Source organism: Homo sapiens, chromosome 7, assembly GCF_000001405.40.
Source record: "Homo sapiens chromosome 7, GRCh38.p14 Primary Assembly".
Taxonomy (NCBI): domain Eukaryota; kingdom Metazoa; phylum Chordata; class Mammalia; order Primates; family Hominidae; genus Homo; species Homo sapiens.
The window spans coordinates 113,126,660-113,146,757 of NC_000007.14; the positions used below are offsets into that span (position 1 = coordinate 113,126,660).

Sequence of the window (20,098 nt, forward strand, 5' to 3'; positions counted from 1 at the left end):
AAGCACGTTGACACTGCCTATCACATTCTTTAGATGCTCAGCTCTTCAGGGAAGCAAAAACCTGAAAAAGAAAAACAAAGTTAAAGATTAAATATGTGATCAGTACTGGATTATATAAAATGTTTCTCGTTTGTAAATGAAACAATAATCAGTAGACAGGAAAGATTGCAATGACTACAAAAGTTCAAAAGTGAGCAGGTTATTGTTGTGTTCCTCCCTTGTTGAAGCACAACAGTGAGAGGAGGGCTACATTGACTCTTCTCAATCATTTTCTTTTATCCCCAAGTGTCAAATATTTCTTTTACTTTCAGTTGGGATTAAAATAGTATATTCTAGCCACAGTCTTGGTGCTTCCATAAGAAACTACACCTGCTGGGATCTTGTCAGGTCCTCGGTTACACAATTGCAGTACCAGAATTAGGCCTTAGATCTCCCCATACAAGTGTTTTTCCAAAATCCTGAAAGTTTTCAGCCTCAGCCACTTTTCCTCACTAGAATGGAGCATGCATGGTTTGTCTTATGGTAATGAGAAGTGTTATGTGGCATGAGCAATGTTAGGAAGTAAAAGTGCAACTATTTCCTAGACTGAAGTTAGAGTGCTGGCCTACATTATCCAGTGGAAGACAGATGTTCCTATAAAGATGTGTGTTTTATAGATTTTCTGTAAATATGTAATATTTTCTCTTGATTTAGACTATATATTCAAAGATAGTCTTCTTTTTCTGATTGATCTCAAGTGAATGTTAGACATTGAATGTTTGTGTTAACATTTCCTATCCTTTAATATCTTGATGAAGTATTTTATAATTTTTAAAGCAACTCTCTGCTTAAAAGACAAAAGGCTGGGCACGATGGCTCATGCCTGTAATCCCAGCGATTTGGGAGGCCGAGGTAGGTGGATCACGAGGTCGGGAGATCGAGACCATCCTGGCTAACACGGTGAAACCCCGTCTCTACTAAAAATACAAAAAATTAACTGCGTGTGGTGGTGGACGCCTGTAGTCCCAGCTACTTGGGAGGCTGAGGCAGGAGAATGGAGTGAACCCGGGAGGCGGAGCTTGCAGTGAGCCTCGGTCATGCCACTGCACGCCGGCCTGGGCGACAGACCGAGACTCCGTCTCAAAAACAAAACAAAAACAAAAACAGAAAAAAAAAAAAAAGACAAAAACCCCAAAACATTTTTTCAGTTTCTGTAAACACACACATACACACACACACACACACCCCCCACACACACAAACACACGCACAGTGGTGAATGGCTGATGCAGTCCTTCTGTTAAGTTGGCAATTATTTTGTCTAAATATGGCCTTAATAAAGGCCAGGCCAGGACTGGGTACATTTTCTAGGCCCAATACTAAATGAAAATGTGGGGCCTCTTGGTCAAAAGTAAGGATTTCTAGACAGGGATACAAGAGCATTAAACTGGACCCGTTAGTCTTCTAAGTGCAGGGCCCCATGTGAATGCACAGATCACATGCCATGGGTCCACCCTGGACCAGGTCATGGTGAGTCAAATCAAACCTTTAATAATGGTAACTTTCCAGCCCAGTTTTCAAAGTTGGCTCCACTTTTCTAAGACATCAGATGCCTCACCATGCCTGAGGCCTGACTCAAACTCAGGGTTGGCAGCACCTAGTAGAGGGAAGTGCTGGATGAAGTCCAGGTACTTTCACATCAGAACCCTTCCAGAAAGTGTCTCTGACCTGGAGCTGCCACCTATTAGAGCCCTATGGACTGTAATGGGGACTAGGAACCTTCCATGTCCTTCTGCCTGGCCACACTGGGCTTTCCAAGAGCTTTGGAAGGAGGTGGCAAGCCACAGCTACATGGGTGGTGAATCCTGTGTGCAGTGTCTGGGCCTGGAACTACCAGTGCACTTAGGAAGCTAAGGATACAAGGTCTGGTGAATTCTCCATCGGCTGGAAGCTTGTCCCAAGCAGACTTAACACAGCAAACTCAGACCCAGCTAGAGTTCAAGGTTTGGCTGCCTCTGGAGCTAACTTCAGATTCAGGACTAGTAGAGTTCCCCGCTCCCAGAAAACATAAAAGAATGGGTCTCTGTCCCCATTTGCATCTACCCCTTTCCCCAAGAAAAGTAAGGCCCTGGCATTTGGCTATAAGAAACCATGGTCAAGTTAGTGCTTTATCTGTACTTGATAGAATTTCTACTTAAACAAGCAAAAAACAAGATTTATTTTTGTGGGCAATACTGCTTTTTTTCTGTGTGACAACGTCTATGTATATTTAAAAATTATATTGTCTTAAAAGAGAGGCACATCACCATTTTTTCTCTGGGGTTCCCTTTCTATTTAGTTTGTTTTGTGTCCAAATGTTCTAGAAAAGAAGCTTAGGTTTTCATCGGCTTAGAAAAATGAGACCACAGTCAGGTGGACCAACTTATTTAATTTCTACTCTTCAAAGTAGTGCTACTAAAACAACAACAATACTCAAAATCAAGAAGACAAAGCCTCCAAACCTAGAATCCTTTTAGACCCTGTGGATCGAGAAGTGGATGAAATAAAAGAATCGGTTGATTCCTTGGCAACTTTTCATTAACATTCAAAGCAGATTTTAAAAGATTAATTGAGAACATGAAAAATAGATGTTATTGTAACCATTCTTTTTATTTTGGTTAGAAAAGGCCCAACTGGGTTTTTATAAGTTGAACAAAATACATTTCCCATTATCTATGAAAACATGGTAATCTATTATGGATAAATCATTCTTATTATCCTTTTCTTTTTGTGCTCTTTCAATGAGAATTTCTTCTGGACTCTTACCCCTCTTATAATTGGGTAATGATAAAATTAGATAAATTTTAATACCAATGATTTGGCTTCTAAATTTTGTTGCATTTAAATGGAATTGGAGCCATTTAGCATAGATTAAATTCCAGATCTTGTCTCTGTCTCAGTGAATAGGTTCAGATTTCTAATGGAAGACCAAGACTGATATTAGGACCAGCTACTGATAAAGTCAGCAAAACTACTATATGCCACCGTGTTTGCCTTACATAATTATAGAGGTGGGTTTTACATTAGGCTGGCTGAAAGTAGAATTCTGAGATGAAGAGTTATATGTAAAGATTTTTTGAGATGTGCTCTCCAGAACTGCACCTGTGAGGAGATGAGAAAAGGAAGATAGGGTAGAGGGGAAAGCTGACTCACAATGCAACTGAGGTCTTGGGAGAGCTTACAGGGAGCTCTGGAAAGGAGATGTCTCTAAGAATTGTTCCAAATTGAAGCAAAGGGGACTTTATTCCTTGGCGTGTGTTGGGCATTGACTGTGGCTCTCCCCTGAGAAGTATTTAGTGAGGTAGTTGCTTGTAGCCAAGAGCATTTCTCTGTCAGGGTTACATCTGTAAGCTTTTACCAGATGGTATTCCTCAAAGCTGAGGGCAGTAGGCTTTAACCCTGAAGAGGGAACCTGGGTGGATCATCATAGTTCCAACCACGCTTGGTAACGTAGCTCAGCTTTCTGCAGTCTACTATATATGGCATAGAATAGCAGGTTGGCAGGGAGGATTAATAAAAATCCATGTGGATTATGGCTTCTTCTGGAAAGGTTAATTAAAACTGTGCTTACCATACTTGTTACCTCTGTACCATCAAAGCAAGCAGAGAATAGTCATACTTTACCTCTTTTCCCACATGTCACACTCAAAACCATAGCTTAGATACTGTGTTTGAGAGTTGAACCTTAGATGTTTTATTTAAATGATTCTTCTAAATTGGACAGGTATAGTTTATCTTGATGCCAACTGGCTTATACCAGATTAAGCTTTAATATTGTGAAGTCTCCGGTTCATTAAAAAATAGCTATTTAACAACAAAAAAAAAATACTTTGGGAACCCATTTAAGGTAACTCCAAACCTTAAATGGGTTCTAAAGTATTTTTTTTTGTTGTTGTTAAATAGCTGGTTTTGTATTAGTCATTTGAGAAAGTAGTAATACTTCTTTTGATTGAATTTGCTTCTGGTTATCATGCTTGTTTAGATTTAGAGAACAGGAAGCGTGTTAGAGCTGTGTGATGCTCTGCCCTCTTTTAGCTAGGTGGCTACTAGACACTGTGAGAAGGAAGCAGTTGATTACCTTTCAGACTACATGTCACTGGGATGATCCTGCAGCAATAAAGGTTAATTTTTATATTAATAAAACTAGAGAGATCTTTTGGCAACCTCAAGCCTTTGGCTTTCTGGAAAATATAAACCCATTTTTATACTTATGGGACTTGGTTTTAGTGATATCAGGGCCCCTGTCAACCCTTGATCGTGTAGAGTTAACATGGCCTGGGTAGATGTGTTTCCAAGCATTGGAATCTGGGATACAAAGCTGAGTGGTTTAATTTGTTGTTACTATGTTGTATCTTTTCACACAAGTGCTACATCCAACCCAGTCGTGAAACAAAATGATTTGGATTTTCTCATTTTTTCAAAGAATACTTACTGATGTGTTACGGAAGCTAAAAGGGAAAACCAAATTGATGATAATCAATTCCTATGGACATATCAAAGCAGGTAGAGTAGAAGGCATCCTGGAAGAGCTACTATCTGAGAGGAAACCTGTAAGTTAAGTAAGAATTAGCCATATTAATGGCAGAAATATGGCAGGGATGGTTTCTTAGTAAGAGGGGGCAATGGATGGAAAGGCCTCAGAGAAAGAGAGCCTGTCTGTAGTTTATGATAGCTAAAACACAGGCTATTTTCATAAGAATCAGTAAGGAGAAGGGGATTAAGAGGTGAGCAGGGGTCTGATTAGAAAAATATTATATTGTGAGCATATAAGACTTTATCTGGAGAACACAGGGAACCATTGAATTGTCTTCAGCAGAAGAGTACTATGACCAGATTTGCATTTGGAGAGCAGTATAAACAGCAATTGGAGAGACCACAAGGGGAGGCATCAGGACCAGTGAAGAGACAAGGAAGAGGTCATGAGCACCCAGATTAGGGTAGAGACAATGAGGATGGTGGAAAGTGAGCAGATTTGAGAGGCTTTTAGCAAAAACGTTAGGTCGATGTTAGGCCTTGGCAACTCATTGGAGGTGGGGTGATGACAAACAAAGATATTGTTGGAAAACTGGACAGGTATAGTGGGATGAATAAACATGCTATTATGTGTGAAAAGGCATGGCTCACCTTAGCCCTTAACCTGCTGTTTTCTGGTGTCATAACTCCGTTTATTTTATTGCAGGTGTTGAATATCTGAAAGCTCTATTACCATTTATCTTAGTTTGGCATGTGATCAGAGATTTTGATATTTCTGGATTGAACTGGGCATGACTGATGGTGAGAGATAAAGAATTTTTGATTCCTAATTCCAAGTTGCCACCTTCATATAATGAGAACAAAATAATATATTTTATAGAAAATAAAATAACATTTTTATCATGGGAGGCTCAATCTTTACTAAATCTTGCTACAACTGCCTCAAATGACACTTAGGTTCATATTTTCTCTGACTTGTTTATGTTCTAATCATTCTTACTATAAGTTTCATTATGATCAATGGACAAATGTCACAATAATTATTCTGCACAATTTCATGGTTAATGTATACATCTAATTAAAAGGACTTTATTCAACTTTTTTTCACTAAACAAATTGTTTTATTTTTCTTAAGAAAAAATAATTTTAAGTCTCCTCACAAAGAATATGGAGATTATTCAAAATCAAAGAGCTAGGTTTTTAGCCTATGCTATAGTGTTGACCCAACCATATAGCAAGTCTATGATCAATTTCAATAAAATAATTTCCCTTTTTCTTATTTGATTTTTAGAGATAGCAGTAGGAATTTGAATTTAGAAGTAATAGACAGCCATTTCCAGGAAGATGCCTGAGATTTGGAAATTATTTGCATAGATGTTGTATATTAAACAGGTTAAACAAAGGTGTTCTTTTTCAAGTCTGAGAGTTTATATTCATAAATAATCTTGTTCTTTGGCAATGGGCATTACATTTAGAGAAAATAATGTCTGTGTAAACACATCTATCCAAAAAGGCACCTTTGCTCACAAAGATCAATATTTGTGACTGAAGCAGTGAGGCTTCTAAACATAACTTATTATGCGGTAATTTAAAATCCTTTAGAAAACAAGTAGGGACTGCTTAATGCATAGACTCCTAACTGTGAATTTCAAGATGACCTCCTACAATTATAAGAAAGCCACTTCTCCAAGCATACTGAGCATCAACTCTTGGCCTCAAGGTGAGGCTAGATGGAGTGTTATGGCATGGCCACAGACAGTGCTGTGAAACCCCAGTGTTTCTGATAGTTTGATTGCAGATCACTATCTTGTCTCCCACCTTCATCCTTCCATGACCTCAATTTCTCTCTTGTGCTTAGGTCTTTTAATAGAGGAACTGACAGCTAACAAATTTCTGTTCTACTTTGGATGCCTTCGCCTTCTTCACATTTATCCTGCCCCTCTTACCTCCTCTGCATAATTCACTGAAACTGTTTATTCTGCTGTATTCCTGTCACTCTACACTGGAGAAACATCCAGCCCAAGTAATTCATGATCCACTGGAAAGCACCTGCACATTTCTTCAGATTTAATTTGGATCATCCGCTCCCTCCACCCTTCTCTGATCTTCCTGATTAGAGCTAACCACTCCTGCCTTGTGGTCCAAAATGGTCCAACATGCACAGAGCTAACCCCCTGTGCATGTTGGACCTGTTTCTATCACAACCACAAAACCCTGTATTGTGCTTGTCCTTATTCACCACCACTCCAGACAGTAGGCCCTTCTAGGATGGGAATTGTGTTATTCATTTGTAATGCTCCCATATCTAGCACCATGCCTAGCCACTTATGAAATGACAAATACATGTTTTTATGTTTTTCTTTTCCTGAACAAATTATTTAAAACAGGAAAGTCTGATGGGCAGGGAAGTAGGCACATCTAGTTCATCATCAAGTTCTGCCTATTTTGCTATTTAAACATGTCTTGTATCCAAGCTCTCCATCTTGCTGTCTCTACCTGAATTCGCGTTCTCATTTTCTCTCTGCTGCACTATTAAAATGGCCTTCAGATGGGCTCTGTTCTCTCTAGGCTTAACCCTCACATTCACTCTCCAGGTAGGTGGCATAATCATTTTTTGATGTGCAAATCTGAAGATGTTCCTCTATAGTTTACGGGATAAATTCTAACATCCTTAGCATAGCACATAAGACCTTTCATGATCTGGCCCCTATTTGTCCATTTTCATCTCCTGCTATTTTCTGCTTCAGCCATGGTGGACATCTTGTGTGGTCTCATACAGTGCAGTTTATTGTGCCTTGTTCTGAATTTTTCTGTTGCAAAAAATGCCCCTCTTCAGTCTAATTTTTTTCTGGCAAATTCCTATGCATGGACAGAAATTCAGAGAGAACATGTTTATCATAACCTGGCTTTACCACTTACTTACAAACTGTTTAAACTTGGGCAAATTGCTCACTTCTCTGTGTCTCAATTTTCTCATTTTTAAGTCAGGGATAATATTCTTTCTGCTTAGTAAGTATGCATATTGCATGAGTCAGAGTTCTTCAGTGAGACAGAACCAACAGGATGAATAGATAGATAGATAGATAAATAGATAGATAGATAGATAGATAGATAGATAGATAGATAGATAGATGAGAGAGGATTTATTAGGGGAATTGGCTCACATGATTATGGAGACTGAGAAGTGCCACAACGGGTCATCTACCACCTAAAGATCCAGGGATGCTGGTAGCATGGCTCAGTTCAAGTCTGAAAGCCTCAGAACCAGGGAAGTCAAAGGCCTGAGAACCCAGGAAGCCACTGGTGCAAGTTTCAGAGTCCAAAGCCCTGGAGTTCTGATGTCTAATCATAGGAGAAGTGTGTCCCAGCTTCAGGAGAGAGAGAGAGAGAGAGAGTGCAAATTTGCCTTTCTGTTCTATCTAGCCTCCCATCTGATTGGTTGGTGCCTGGCCACATTGAAGGCAGATCTCCCCCACTCATCCATTGACTCACGTGCCAATCTCTGCCCAAAACATCTTCACAGACACACCCAGAAATTATGCTTTAGCAGCCAACTAGGTATCCCTTAATGCGGACAAGTTGACACCTAAAATTATCCATCACACACATCAGCCATTATTGCTTATTTTACTCATTAAGGCTTTACAAAAAGTTTCACTGCTACAAGCAACCTTTCAGAATTTCCCAGGATGGATTAGATTTCCCTCTTATGTGCTACATAGTTTCTCTTGCAGATCTTGATTCTTGGACTCACCAAATTTTGTTGGAATTGTCTTTATGGAATTGCCTTCTTATTGGACTGTGAGCCACATGAAAGAAAAAAAATCATGGTTTCTTATGTTTTATATCTTCAGCATGAAACATGCTGATAGTAAATGCTCAATAAATATTTGACGAATGAGGCTGGGCGTGGTGGCCCACGCCTGTAATCCCAGCACTTTGGGAGGCCAAGGCAGGCGGATCACGAGGTCAGGAGATCGAGACCATCCTGGCTAACATGGTGAAACCCCGTCTCTACTAAAAAATACAAAAAATCAGCCAGGCATGGTGGCAGGCACCTATAGTCCCAGCTACTCAGGAGGCTGAGGCAGGAGAATGGTGTGAATCCAGGAGGCAGAGCTTACAGTGAGCTGAGATTCCAGCCTGGGCGACAGAGTGAGACTCTGTCTCAAATAAATAAATAAATAAAATAAAATAAAATAAAAAGTTTGATGAATGAATGAGTTACATAGTAGGAAGAATCCATGATTTGGAGTCAGAGAGATCTGTGCTCAAATTGAATAACTAGCTCTGCATCTGCAAGCAAGTAACAGCTTCTTGGAGACAGTTTCTTTATAAACAGGGATAATTCTTTTTTTTAGGATTAGGGATAGTATTACACATAGAGTTTATTGCAGTGCCTAAAATGTTGCTGTTTTTATCCTGAAAAAATATTTCATAATTTTATTGCAAAGTTAGAGTTAGCTGGCAGATGCAGTTTTCCCCTTGAAGAATCATATTAACTCTGAAGAAAATATCATCTAGTGCTTGTGTTTATCTGAAGATAATGTCTTGCTGAATTTCTCTGGAAGTATCCATATCTTCCTGAACTCCTACATTGTCTGTAACACCCAGCAAACACTTAGAGATTTCTTTCCTTGTAGTTTAACCAACTTCTTTGTTTACTTTTTCTGTGCAAATAGATTGTAAGCATTTTGAGGACAATAACTACATTTTGTATATTTTTAAATCCTCTTCCTGCCTTCCCATACATTGTCCCCTCCTCTGAATTGAGATCTCTGCATGAACTAATCAATAAGTAAATATTGATTTATAAAGATGGGTGGGGCCCAAGAACAGGCAGTGGCGACTGGAAGGCTATGACTCTCAGAGAGTCCATCTCATCTGGAGTAGAATCCCAGCCAACAGTTAATGCAAAGATTGCACTGGACATGAAGGGGAGCATAAAATAAGATATGGTGCCTTCTTGGCAGGAGCTGAAGATCTATTTGGCAAGATAAAACATGCTCAAATGGAACCATTGAGGAGTAGTACTAAACAGAATGTCATTAAATCCCCACCGTGTTCAGAAGAAGAGAAATTAAAAATTCATGCAGGTGAGGCTGAAGAGAAGAGATTCTTGGGACACTCCAAAGGGAAACAGACAGAACCTCATAGATATTTGAATCTTATGATATGCCAGGCATTGTGATGAGTGATGAATATGTATTCTTGTGTCTGTGTGTGTATGTGTGTGTGTGTGTGCGTGCACATGTGTGCATACATAATAGTAACTTTTATTCATTCATTCAATAAACATTTTTAAAAACATGCTTAAAAGACACAAACATAAAATTTATTAACAATTTTTGAGACTATAGTTCAGTAATGTTGAGTATATTCATGTTGTTTTATAACAGAGCTCCAGAACTATTTTGTCATGCAAAACTGAAAGTCTATATTCATTAAACAATTCACTATTTCCCCGTTTCTCTGAGCATATGTTCTTTTATCTAATCCCTGTTACAAATTTGTGGGACAGTTTTAGGAATGCCATTTCACAAGGAATCGAACAAAGCTTAGAGGTTAAAAAAATTTCCAAGGTCTTATAAATAATAAAGATAAAACCAATGAGCCATTGATCAGGAAAGGAGTAAACTATTAGGAACACATAGTTTCAGGTGAGATAGAAGAACTACATTTTGCTTTTTTGCAGGAGTTGGTTTTTATGGACCATTCATGGGCATGGTAGCTCTTGCCTCTAAAATGTGCCACACAGCACCTGATGCTACTCTACTGTCAATACTTCTCTTTCCTAGAACTAAGGTCTCTGCTGTCTCAAACGATGCTGAGCAGAAATGGCTGCCAGATTGAGAACATCAGAAAAATGGTGTGGGTTCCTATGTTCACATTTTGGGCCTGTGATCCTCCCAGGCCACAAGGTATCAAAGACTGTTCTTTAGGGTGAGGGATGTTGGATCAACTTTTAAATCTTGCTAGAAATTTTCATGGGCAAGAGAGAAGGAACTTAAATGTGTCTTCATGGACCGGAAGAGCTGGCCTCTTGGGTTGATAGTGGCAAGGGCAAAGGAGAATCTGGGTGAAAATTTTTGGCCATATTTTCAGGATTACAGGAAGGGAAGGAAGTTAAAATACAAGATATATATATCATCTCCAACCTGGAAGAACTCCGTGTTGGCTAAGGCCTTACAAATAGCTTTTTCCTACTGAGATACATCCTGGCAATAGATTAGGCCACATGTGGAGTTCTACGAAGTGGTTGTTTAAGAAAGGTACTGGGATAGCAGGTGTACTTGGAATGATAAGGCAGGAGTGGAAATGATTAACTGTTGTGAAATAATGCATTTTATTTGTCAAGCACTATGTGAAGTGCTTTATGCACATTTTGTCTAATTCTTAAAATGACTTTTTATGTTAGGCATTATTGTCCTTATTTTATAAACTATGTCTCAGGAAGGTAAAGAATTTGCCTTTGATTACTGGGTTGGTTATTAAACTAACATCTCTCAGCTTCAAACCCAACTGTCTACATTTTGCTTTTTGATACATGGGCTGTGGGCATCTGCAAACCATGTTTCTGCTTTTTTGATTGGTTAAACCCTGTCAGTTGGGGATACTACAGGAAATTGTAAGCAGGAGGAGGTAGATGGAACATGTTCTTTCTTTTTTGCTGTTGTTTTTGTTTTTCTTCCTATTTGCTTTCTGCTGGCTTTCTTTTCCCATGAGCATCACCCAGCAATGCCTCTTCAGTCTTGCAGCAGCAGTTTGTTCCAATAGCAGCAGAGGAGTCCAGTTTGTGGTTTCCCTGACACTCACAGAGTCAGCATCAGTCGCTGGCTCCCCTTCTTCAGAGATCTGGGACCCAGAACCATGGGATGCCTCCTCCCGCTAAGCTCAGGGACTCAGCACCATCAGATTCTCCTCAGGAGTCTGTGAGGCCTGTGCTCCAGGCTTCTAACTGTTAATAATTCTAATATCTTCATTTTGTTCCTCGAATTCTAGGAATGGTTGCTACCTCTATGATACCTTAGAGTTCTCTTTTTGCCATTTCAGTACTTAATTAACAACTTTTATAAAATTAACAATTCTTTATTTTATTTTATTTTATTTTATTTTATTTTATTTTATTTTGAGACAGATTCTCACTCTGTCGCCAGGCTGGAGTGCAGTGGCACGATCTTGGCTTACTGCAAGCTCCACCTCGTGGGTTCAAGGGATTCTCCTGCTTCAGCCTCCCGAAGAACTGGGATTACAAGCACATGCCATCACGCCCAGCTAATTTTTTGTATTTTTAGTAGAGGCGGGGTTTCACCATGTTGTCCAGGATGGTCTCCGTCTCCTGACCTCGTGATCTGCCCGCCTCGGCCTCCGAAAGTGTTGGGATTACAGGCGTGAGCCACTGCACCCGGCCAAAATTAACAATTCTTTATATTAATTTCTTTCTGTTTAACCTGTATGATTTCTGGCTCTTGGCTGGATCCCAAAACAATTAAATAACTATTACTACTGCTCATCATCATCATCATGGCCTCCATTTATTATTTAGCAATGCTTTTAAGGTGGTAGAACTAAGTTCCTCATAGTGGGTGTGGGCAGAATGCACATCCGCTATATTCTTTTCTTGCTACCCAACTGGCTACCTTTGGGATGGAGCAGAATTTTTCAAGGGCACAGGCCATTTGATCTTGCTAGCGCTGGTAGTGTCTATTAGCCCTGATGTGATGTTTTGTAATCTATATATTCAGTGCTAATTAAGCCTCAAAGCAATTCCAGCAAAGCTCTTTATAAGAACCAGGGCTATGTTTATTTTTCCCCATCGACTCTGCAGAGCCAAGAACAGTGTCTAGCAGTGCTTGGTAGGTGTTTAGTATGCATTTGTTGAACAAAAGATTGCATGAATGCATGAGCAAGGCTTAGGAATATTAGAATCTTATCCTCTCCAGTGAATGGATTCTGGAAACTGACTTCTTGGATATCTGGCCTTCTTCCTGATTTGTACTTACGTTGCCATCTGGGACTCAAGCCTTGAACTGAAACCCAGTATGTTCAACAGAGGCCTGACAGCCATTCTATTCAACAGAACTTCTCAACCCCACACTTCTTGTCCCTTTCACTATCTATGCCCTTTGAGTTGTTGGCTTGAGATGTGCTTCCAATCAGATGGACCCTCCTTGAACCATAACATTACTGTGGTTTCTGCCTGCTGCTGAGCTCTACTCTATAGGTCTTTATGGAAGTAACCCCACTCTGAGCACTGGGGAAGGCCTCTTTCCCATTGGGATTTGTACAGCAGCTAACTTCTCCTGCTCTGTACTTTCAGCTGGTTGAGCTACCTCTGTGTCTGCCCCAACCCTAATTCCCTGAATCCCACCCAGGATGCTGGCCCATGCTCTTCTCTCTGCCAGTGTTTGAAGTTCCTGCATGTCTCATGGTTAAGACTGCACAGTTTGGTGTGTTTATAATTCAGGTATTTTTCACTGGTGCTCATTATATGCAGCATAAGTCAAACAAACAGAATTTCTTCTCCACCTGACCTCAGAGATGAAATAAAAACTATCTTTGTGTTTAAATAAACGTTTCCTGGCCACCTTTATGCATAGACAAACTTTCCTTGGGATACTGAAAGAAGAGTATAAGAATATACATACCTATATTTGTAATTCAACATGATTTAACATTATTTTCCCCAGCTGAAGTTATACATGATTTTGTGTAAGATTTAAAATTAATCTCATGTTCAGTTTCAACTTGTTATTGTGTCTACTTTTTTTTTTAACTTGCATAGAAGAACAATTCCATGGATCATATCACCTGATTGACATCTTTCTGGTTTTGCTCTCTCTGTCTAAAATATCAGAGAACAGTAGAAATTTCTGCATGACTCAGAATGTTGAAAAGCCTTATATGATAGTAACATAGCATAAGAGCATATCCTGTGATGATTTTTCTTTTAATAATAGAGTTCTGGTTGTCAGGTTATACTAGGAAGCTTTTCAAGATGGGATGCCTTTGAAGTAACCACACAGTTCCTTCTCTCCTTTTTCTTCTATGATTACTATTTCTTTAAAATGAATAAGTAGGCAATTGATTTTATGCCCAGAACCCAACAATGAGACCCCCACAGAACAGGGATAATTGGAACACAGATATGTGAGCAGATGGGGAAAAATATCAGCAGGAAGGAAATGACCCAATGAAGTCTCAATGAGTAGAATATGGTTTACTGGAAAGTGTATAGCAGGTAGTAGGGACCCAGCAGTAGGTCTGGAGTACAGACATTACTCCCTCAGAAAACTGGGAAAGGCAGGCAGAGGTTTAGGTAAGGTAGATGAAGAGACCAATGTCCTGGAACAACAGTTTGAGATCAGGAACTCAACAGCTGAAGTTCACATAGGCTGACTGAGTTTTAGGACATTGAGCTATGGCCTAAGGCTCTGTGATCTTTTCACTAGTAACTGAGGCAAGCAATAATGAACAATAATTTAGGAGTGAAGTTGGACATAGTGAGTCTTGTCTGGTTCTCCTATGTGTATAATTTAGAAATCAGAACATTGCTATTAAACAAGAGTTAGAAACAGTTTAGGACAAAGGACTTAGACAGCAATATTCTTCCCCAGACAATACCCGCTCCACTTTTCTTCTTATTGTTGTTTTGTGATTAGTTGGAATTAGTTGGAAGGGACCTGGAAAGTCATTATAACACATTTGTAAATATCAGGTTTGGTGTGGAGTAGTATTTGACTTCTGAGGTATGGATGATGATTTGTGACCAATTAAATATCTAAACTTTCTATACTTTAGACGTTGTCAACTAGCTGTAATTTTGCCCTCCCCTTCCCTCAACCCAGGACATCTGGCAATGCCTGGAGACATTTTCGTTTGTCATGACAGGGGAAGGGGGAATGGGAGTTACTGTTACTTCATCTAGTGCAAGGGTCCCCAACTCCCAGGCCGTGGACTGGTACTGGTCTATGGCCTGTTAGGAACTGGGCCATACAGCAGGAGGTAAGCGACTGGAGAGTGAGCACTACTGCCTGAACTCCACCTCCTGCAGATCAGCAGCGACTGATTATGTACCCTATTGTGAACTGTGCATGTGAGGGATCTAGGTTGCATGCTCCTTATGAGAATCTAACTAATGTCTCATCTGAGATGAAACAGTTTCATTCTGAAACCACCCCCCACCCCTGTCCTTGGAAAAATTGTCTTCCACAAAACTGATCCTTGGTGCCAAAATGGTTGGGGACCCCGACAACTTAGGTATGTAGAGGCCGATGACGCTGCTAAATATTCTACAGTGCATAGAAGTCCTCCACATCAAAAAATTATCCAGCCCAAATGCCAATGGTTCTGAGGTTGAGAAGCCCTGCTATAAACCAAACAGACTGTCATTCATTTTGTTTTTTTTTAATCCTGGTATTCTTTGTCACTGTGGATATGTTTCTTGGGCAATTGTTATACCCCATAAATAGTCTAAACTTGTTCTGAATATAACAGAATCATCTTTCGGCACCAGTTGTCTACTCAGTCTCCACAGGTTAGCATTCTCTGACTATGGCATGTGTGTTTGGGTGCATGCAGTTCATAGTAGCAGAATAGAATGAAACTGTAGACATTCACAGACCATCTAAAAGGATTAATACATGACCTTTCCTTTCAGGGTTTTTACCATCTGAGCTACTAAATAAAATAGGTGCTTTACCCAGAGATGCAAGCTTGAAACTACAATGTGACCTAATATGTTGTTTTTAATGCAGATTAGTTTCTTCAATGCCAAGGCAACAAAAACCTGGAGTGAAATCCTATTACTCTTGCAAGCTGATGTGCATATTCTCTTCTCATACACAAACAGCTTGGAGACTTGGACCTAATTTTATGGCATCTGTGTATGCTAGGGCCACTAATAACATAGACACTGACTGGCAAGAGTTGAATGAACTTTGTTAATCTGTTAACCAGCTGGGTTCACTTAGGCCTAGTTGACTTTTTTAGAGGAATTATTCTGTAATTGGAAATTTCTATGCCCCTTACATTTTAGATGATTGAGGGACTTGGTAGGTTTATTCTGCCTTTTGATCTTTAGGTGCTTTTTATGTATCTATTATATAGAATCACAGACTTGAAAAAGACTTGAGTGAGGTCAGCAAGCTACTGCATGCAGCCAAATCTGTCTTGCCACCTGCCTGTTTTTGTAAAATAATATTTTATTAGAACACAGAAATGCTCATTCATTTACGTATTATCTGTGGGTGCTTTTACATTAAAGTGGCAGAATTGAGTAGTTGGAACAGAGATTATATGTCATGCAAAGCCTAAAATACTTATTATCTCTCCTTGAGCAGAAAAAGTTCGTTGACCCCCACCTAATCCCACTTCCTCATTTTGCAGATGAGGAAACTGACTCTTAGAGGGACTGACTAGACCAAGGTCACACCACTAACAGAAAATCGAGGTTAAAGCATGATTAACACATGTTTTGAGAAATGAGGATGATGAATATCAGACCACTGACAAGCTATGTTCTAACAGCAAAATGAAGAGAAAAAAATATATTCTATAACTTGATTTACCAAAGACGAAAAAACAAAACAAAACTGGCTTGATGGATTTACTTCTTCCCTGAATAGATCAGTTGTCTTTATGTCATGCAGATAGAGCCGAAGCAGGACTTCAGTCAAATGACATCACAATTTTATGCAGCTAGGTGGCTGTTTTCCAAAGAATAGCAGAATATTTGTTGGTCAGCCTCCTGTGTCTCAGCATTATATTCCTCAAAAGTTGAATTATTGATGGTAAGTCAGAGAAGACACTTTGGTAATTGCTGAAATCTTGACTGTATTAAGACTGACTGTCCCTGTGTTCTGCTGTGGCACCAGCTGACAGTGATGAAATCTATAGAAGTAGGGCACATTTCCATAACATGAATATTCAGGGTTGGTGATGCAAGAATTATTATTAAACCACTGGGAAGGAACACATTCTCATTATTTGATTGAATACTAAATGCTGCCTTTTAAAAATAATTCAGTATGAATACTTTGATAATGAGGAAAGAGAGATGCTTGGAAAAAAAACTCATACTTTTTTTTTCTCTGGTACGTAAGAAGGAAATTAAATTAAGTTTAAAATATATAGCATGTCTACAGGAACTATTTTGGAACCATTAGCTATATTTCATCTAAACCTGTCTTACATATATCGAAGTATAATGTAATAGAAGCCTGAATAGAGTCTGATGTAAATGATTTATATAAAAATAAATTATGTAAAGAAGTATAAATAAAGACCCCTGAAAATAAATAAAATGCCTATTACAAATAATAACTTGAAAAAAACTTTAAAAAACCCAATATTTGTTAGACGTTAGATGTGTTTGCTACAGTTCTGAGTTGGATGTGTATGCTGCATTTCTGTAAATGACACAGTTTATATATTTCAAGGACCCCTGGCACCTCTAAGAACCCTGGGTATTCCTCAAAACTGAGTGTACTTCATATATGATGACAGTTCAGACAGCTGAAGTGCCATCATATATGAAGTACATCCAGTTCCTCATAGCCAAGATGTTATGCATAGGAAATAGAAAAGAAAGGAAAATGATTTGATTCATTCATCCATCAAACATGAATCAAGCCTCTGCTACATGCCAGACAGTGCACAAGGCTCTGGTCCTGCACAAATTAAATAAACAAGGTCCTTGTCCTCTAAAAACTGATGATCTAAAGGAGGGTGCAGGCAAGTAAACAGATTTTCAACAGAAAATGGTATGTATTCTGTAATAGAGGTAAGCTCAGATGCCATTGTGGAAAATTTCTCTTCCTTTTTGCTGGTTTCTCATCGTTCCTTCTAGCTCTTCTCCCCTAATCAGTTTAGGTGGGGTTGTCCCTTAGGCCCAGATTGGGTTTGTACCCTTTTGTTTCTCTTTCTACCTCCTCCTTCCTTGAGTGTGCTAACTCCACCCTTGATTTACTAACTGGGTTGTGCTTCCTTGTCTGCCCTCCTAAAGATGGCCATCCCTTGTTAGTGCCTTGAGTTTTCACTTCCTCCTTCTCCTCATTCTCTTCTCTCTTACAAAAATGAAGCCACTGAATGCCCAGTTACTGAGGTTCATGCTTTCACTAGTAAACCAAATACATATTGTGTTAATGCATCTACTAGGTGTTCCTATTTGTTATCACAACTATGCATAGGCATCTATGTAGCAATTTTACTTTAAATGAAAAGTCTTGCATACTACAAATCTTTTATTTGAAAAGGTAGAGGGGTACAAGGCTGAAATTTCAGACATTGTCCCTGGAAGCTCCCTCTGGTTGCACTATTTAGGTAAAAAACAAATGAACAAGAGACTAGGTGAGGCAAAGTCAGTGAGAGACTGGAACAGAAGTCACAGACAATTCTTTTTAGCACAACAGCCACTCATCCCATATTTATTCTTCCCATATTTCTTAAAAGGACATCTGCTCTGTGTGGCGCATGGCAGTGGGATGTATTGGGAAGAATCTGGATTTTGGAATCATACTGTGTTCAAATCAGAGACTCAGCTGTTGCAAAAATAAAAATGCATGTGCAAACACGTAACACACTGCTTGGCTTCAGATCTGTGATCAATACATGTGTTTCTTCATTATTTTCTTTCTTTCCTTCACTAAGAGAGATAATAAACAGTAATCATTTACACATATCTGAGAAAAGAAGCTTTGGAGAGAGAGCAACGAGTGTTTCTGGAACTGACCTCCACACAGAGTAAATTCAGAAATCAGCAGATCTACATTATTTATTCAAAGAGAGAACTGCATTGTAATCACTTTCCTGGATGCATGGGGTGAATGAGTGACAGCAAATACCTCAGTCATTGTGAGATGGCAACCTGAAGTAGGTGCATCTGAGAAAAAGGGCAGAGACCTCCCCAAAGGTCAAACAGAAGCAAGGCAGCAGGCAGCATTGCAGGGGAGGCAACTGCTGGGAAAGACACAGCAAGGAAGAGCTATTATGGGATGCCTCTCTGTGAGGTAGGGAGTGACTGTATATATGTTTTGAGACATCAGATCCTCCTCACCAAAGAGCCACTCTGGAAATTCTTGTTTTGACTTCATCCTTTAAGATTTTAAAAAGCAGTACCCTGAAGCTGTTTTCTTTGTTTTACTTTGCTTTAATGACTTAACAGCATTACAACATGGGTTTAAGTGCAAGAGAGTTTAGAAAACCTTTAGAAAAATAAGTCAAGCAAAGTTCAAAAGAAAACATGAATCTTATGCTAATTTTACCTGTAGGACTCAGGGCAGAAGTGGCCAAGCTTTTTGGCAGAAGGCACTGTTGAAAGGTATTGTGTGGTTGTGGCGGAGACAGTGGGAGGATGAAGTGAATCAGAAACTGTTGTTCTGTCTGGGATGAGGGGAAAATATCTGAAACTACTCCTTCATTGAGCAGAGGGCCAAGGATAGAACCCCAAAGAACCAAACTAAACTCAATCATAGCAAAACATCCTCTTTCTTTTTGTTTCTGCTGCTACACAGAAGAGATGAGGTGGGGATGGTCCATGAAGATGAATGACTGCTTCCTAAGACACTGTGGCGAGGAGGCTGTGGAAAGATGGCAGCAGCAGACTGTGGAGAGAAGTCAATTCACTGTGAGTGGTCAGACAATACCTGAACCAAGAAGACACATGGGACAACCTCTTGGGAACAGAAAGTTCAGAAAAGGGCTAAGAAATAGGATGGAGATAGGGATACTCAATGATCTAGTCATAAGGGATCAAAATGGGAATGCAATTAGGAAGTAGAAGGCCTGAGATAGACAGCAGCCACTGGGATTGGAAGCAATTTTAGGATGATTTCCCAAAGGGTAGAGATGTTCCAACAATAGCTTGATGATAAATTTTGTATTTTTTCAGGGCAGCTTGGCACTTCCCCAGGTAATCCATTCTCAGAGTTTCTGTTCAATCAAAAACTGTAGCTTCTTTGGTTTAGGAGTTTCCTGAGCCTGTCTCAGGGCAATAACGCCTTCTGGGTTAACTGGAGACTTCGTCAGAGACAGATGGGAGCTAACTCCAAAGAGTCATCATGATAACTGCGGTTGTTCAGATTCTTTATTTCTGGGCATCACATAGAATTTAGATTGGGACTCCTTTTCTATCTAACTGAGGGATGGGAATCATAATTGCATATTTAATTTTGTCATTAGAAATGATAATAAACTCATTGCCATTATACCACATGGTTTAAAAATAATCTGTTAGAGCATTTGTTTCTTGTTGTTCAATGTAACCAACCTTATTAAAGACCTTGTATCAACAGTGTTGTTTTGTTTTGTGGCATAATTAAAATCATATTTCTGACTTGTGTAACGTATAAACACATGCAAAGTTGTCATATTTTTTTATGAATACAGTGATAGAATATATGGGACTTTTGATAACTTACTGGTTTTTAAATGACAGAATTCATTTTTTTTTTGCATCCTGAATCAGAGTTGTGATTTGCTAAGTCTGGTATTAAAAAATAACTCATTTATCCAGAGCTGGAAGAGGTCAGTGAGACAGATAAGAACATTTCCTCAGTTTACATTCCAGGAGTGTGTCTACGTGCAAAGCCTATAGAGTTGGAGGAAGC

The 20,098-nt window shown here is 39.3% G+C and overlaps 1 protein-coding gene across 2 annotated transcripts in view; it reads left to right on the forward strand.

Moving 5' to 3' along the window:
* LOC107986837 (uncharacterized) overlaps nucleotides 1-19,782 on the forward strand; it is a 45,778-nt gene extending 25,996 nt beyond the window's left edge. The window contains exons 3-4 of one of the 2 annotated variants that reach the window (XM_047421162.1): nucleotides 19,004-19,116; nucleotides 19,381-19,782. In XM_047421162.1, coding sequence (XP_047277118.1) covers nucleotides 19,004-19,116; nucleotides 19,381-19,467 — 200 coding nt within the window. In that variant the 3' untranslated portion in view covers nucleotides 19,468-19,782. The other variant, XM_047421161.1, reaches the window with a different exon arrangement.
* Nucleotides 19,783-20,098: the final 316 nt, after the last annotated feature.